General features: G+C 35.4%; 1 annotated feature.

Moving 5' to 3' along the window:
- Positions 931 to 1,131: a silencer, noted in NCBI's record as "peak4139 fragment used in MPRA reporter construct". NCBI's record gives its function as "represses an SCP1 promoter by STARR-seq MPRAs in K562 erythroleukemia cells {active_cell/tissue: K562}" and the evidence as "EXISTENCE:reporter gene assay evidence [ECO:0000049][PMID:32103011]".

Genomic DNA, 3,515 nt, shown 5'->3' with positions numbered 1-3,515 from the left:
TATAAAGGAGCAGAACACATTGAATATAGATTAGCAGAAATTTTAAGTTTTCAAAAACTCTTTATCTTGACCTACTTGTATTATCATATGTAATATCTCTCGCCTCTTGTTTACCTAACTATACTATACTATGCTATACTATACTACTGGGAGTAGGTTGTAGATATGATGTTCCTTTACCTTAAAATACTTCATCATAGATCTCCTAAGAAAAAGAACATCATCTTATTCCCTTACTAAACCACAGTGCAATTAATAAAACTCAGAAGTTTAACACTAATACCATACTATTATCTAAATTCACAGTTCATAATCAAATTTTGCCAGTTGTTCAAATAATGTCTCTCACAGATATTTTATTTTCTCTGCTCTAGTTCCCAATCCAGCATCACTGCATTTATTATCTCCTTTGATAATCCTTTAATCTGAAACATGGTTTTTAAAATTTATTTTGTTTTGGTTTTGTCTTTTATGACATTTACTTTTTTTTAAGTTAAGGTCAGTTTTTATTAGAATATCCCTCAAATTGAGGTGGCGATTATTTTAAACATGCAAATGCTTAATGAAACCTTAGGGCATTTATGCATATTGCATGAGAATTATAGGTATATTCCTCATGCATACTTTATCAGCAATGTATACAGCTTGTAAAAGTAGGCATATATTTGTAAAATATGTGAGGAGGGAAAATGAAAAATTCACAATTTTGGAAACAGTGGAGTTTGACACCCTATTCTCTACATTTTCCCTAACTACCAGCAAATTGAGGAAGACCAGGAATTAACTCCTATATTAAGGTGAGTGTGACACACATTTATGTGGAAATAATCAAGAAACCGTTTCTTTTCTTTTTTTTTAACTGTACTCTCTAATAAAAGGGACAAGATCAAAATATTAGAAACAGGATTTTACAACCAAGAGGAGAGAGGGGCAAAAAGTATGAGACATTGGCACCAACACAATATCTGAGTGGTGAAGTGGGAAGAGTTGTAGATGAGAAGTCAAGAAGCCAGGATCCTACTCACTCTCTGAGTGATCTTTGGCAGGATGCCCGCACTCTGTGGAGTACAGTTTCTTTATCTATAAAATTAGAGGGTTGGACTAGATGCTTTCTAATGCCTCTTCCAGTTCAGTGGGTCTATGAAAGGCTCATATCTACATCATTCAAAATCTGATCAAATGCCAGACTGGGCGGCAGTTCAGAGAAAGGGACTATCAACAGGCAAGGCAATAATGGGAGGTTCCCTGTAAGAGCTGGGGGTAGGAGGTGGACTCATGAGGAATAGGAAAGAATTTTGTAAGTGGAGAGAGAACAAGGACCTGCTAAAACAGAGAGCAGTCAAAGTGAATACACACTCAGAATTGAGCATAAAATGTTCTCGTAACAGAAGACCAGCTTGGTCAGCACAGAGGTATGAGTTGGGGGCTTAAACAAAGGGACAACTTCTGTGCAATATAGTCAGCCTCTCTATTGTGGCTACTTTTAGCTACCATGAAAACTTTCACTGATGCATTCTGAGATGATGAATATGCATATCAAAGAGTCAATGAATACTGTATAATAATTAGCTTGCAGTTCCTTCATAAGAAATAGTTTTATTCCATTTTGCATCTGTATCTATGTGGAAATTTTATCTATAGATAGCAACATTTTCCCCCATCTTAACCACCTATTTTTTTCCACAAAGAAGGAATGCAGCACTGTCTGGATCATTCTGTTTCGTGCATTGAGTGTCACTGCTGCTGGGGGTTGGTTTACTCCGCAGTGGAGATTATGCCCTTTATTGAAAACTGATCATAGGTACATGAGCTCATTGAATCTTCATTAGTTTTTTATAAACAGCCATTTCCCCTCAATTTTATAACTAGTAAAATTGGACTCAAAAAGAGTTCTTAGCCAAGCATGGTGGCCTATGCCTGTAATCCCAGCTACTTGGGAGGCTTAGATGGGAGGATCACCTGAGCCCAGGAGGTGGAGGCTGCAATGATCCATGATCATACTAGTACACTCCAGCCCAGGCAACAGTGAGATCCTGTCTCAAAAGAAAAGAAAAAAAGAAAACTCTTCAACTTGCCTAGAACTGGGATATGAATCTAAAGTTATGTTTTTAACATCTGTGTTGATTTATACGTAGTACTTTCTGATCCTTGTAAATAATGCTTTACTTTGCAAAGATAACTGATGGGGCTTATGAGCTGAGAAAAATATCTCAAGAACCTTATCCCAAGTAGACATGTCAAGCACCAACCAGATTGTTGGTACCAACTTCAGTCAAATACTCTGAGGGTGATTTACACAGGCAACAAAGGTGAGAATATTAAAATGTGAATGACCTAGTTATAAGTATTGCCAGCTGAACAATATTATTAAAATCATTACCAAAAACTATTTGCTGGTAGTTTGAAGTACCTTTATATGTGTTTGAGACTTTATATATACTTAGGACCAGAAAGGTTATTTTTGTATGTCTTATAAAACAATCAATTCTACTTTACACACAGATCATGAACCAAATTTACGTACAGGTAACAGAAAATATGAAGAAGGGGAATTACTTAAAAGGGAGAGGTTATAAATTCCACATGCCCCCTGCGGTAGTTTTTGAAACATTATTTAATGGTAGCAGTGGTTATGGGCATGTGTGTACATATGCTTTGAGGATGTTGGGGTTTTTTTAATGTTTTATATCCTTTGTAGTGTTTCAAACATCTGTAGATTTAGTGGAAGAAGATTATAAATCTGCATGTATTTTGGGGTAGAGTTGTAAATTGTTGGTATTGGCTGTAATGTTTGTTCTTACTCATAAACCGGCCTTGTCCCTTCCTTCTTTCCTTCCTTCCTTCCTTCCTTCCTTCTTCCTTTCCTTTCCCCTTTCCCTTTCTCCTTCCTTCCTTCCTTCCCTTCCTTCTTACAGCTCTTTCTTTTTATCTACTTCATTCCTTCTTTCCATCCTTCCTTTCTGTTTCATTTTCTAAGGTGATAAATTCTTCTCAGTAGAAAATAAAAGTGACCAGAAAACAGACTGCTTAACACAAAAAAGTAAAGGGCCATTTAGTTTTCCAGAGGCATCAGATGAAATCCTGTAGTGATAAGAGGATTTAAAGACTTTCTCTTATTTTTAATTAAACAAGAAGACTTAATCATCTTCCATATGGCATATTCTATTGCAATCAGAACATATGGAACTCCTATGCCTATGTCTTCAATGTAAAGAAAGTCAATTTCAAAATACACATTACCGCATTTTTAAAAAGTTAATTTTTACCTGCTAGAAACAAATAGGATTTATTAATAATGCATTTCAAGTTCAATTTATATAAGCAGAGTTTTATTTTTCTATTGATTTTTATGATAATATTGGAAATCTGTTACCAAATTCTATATTAGATTACCATGGCTGCTGTAACAAATTATCACAAATTTAGTGCCTTAAAACCACACAAACTTATTCTCTTACAGTTCTGCAGAACAGAATCCCAAAATCAGTTTCGCTGGGTCAAAGTCAAGGTGTCAG

This window comes from Homo sapiens, chromosome 20, assembly GCF_000001405.40.
Source record: "Homo sapiens chromosome 20, GRCh38.p14 Primary Assembly".
In the NCBI taxonomy this organism is placed as follows: Eukaryota; Metazoa; Chordata; class Mammalia; order Primates; family Hominidae; genus Homo; species Homo sapiens.
This window is presented reverse-complemented; position numbering and strand designations above follow the sequence as displayed.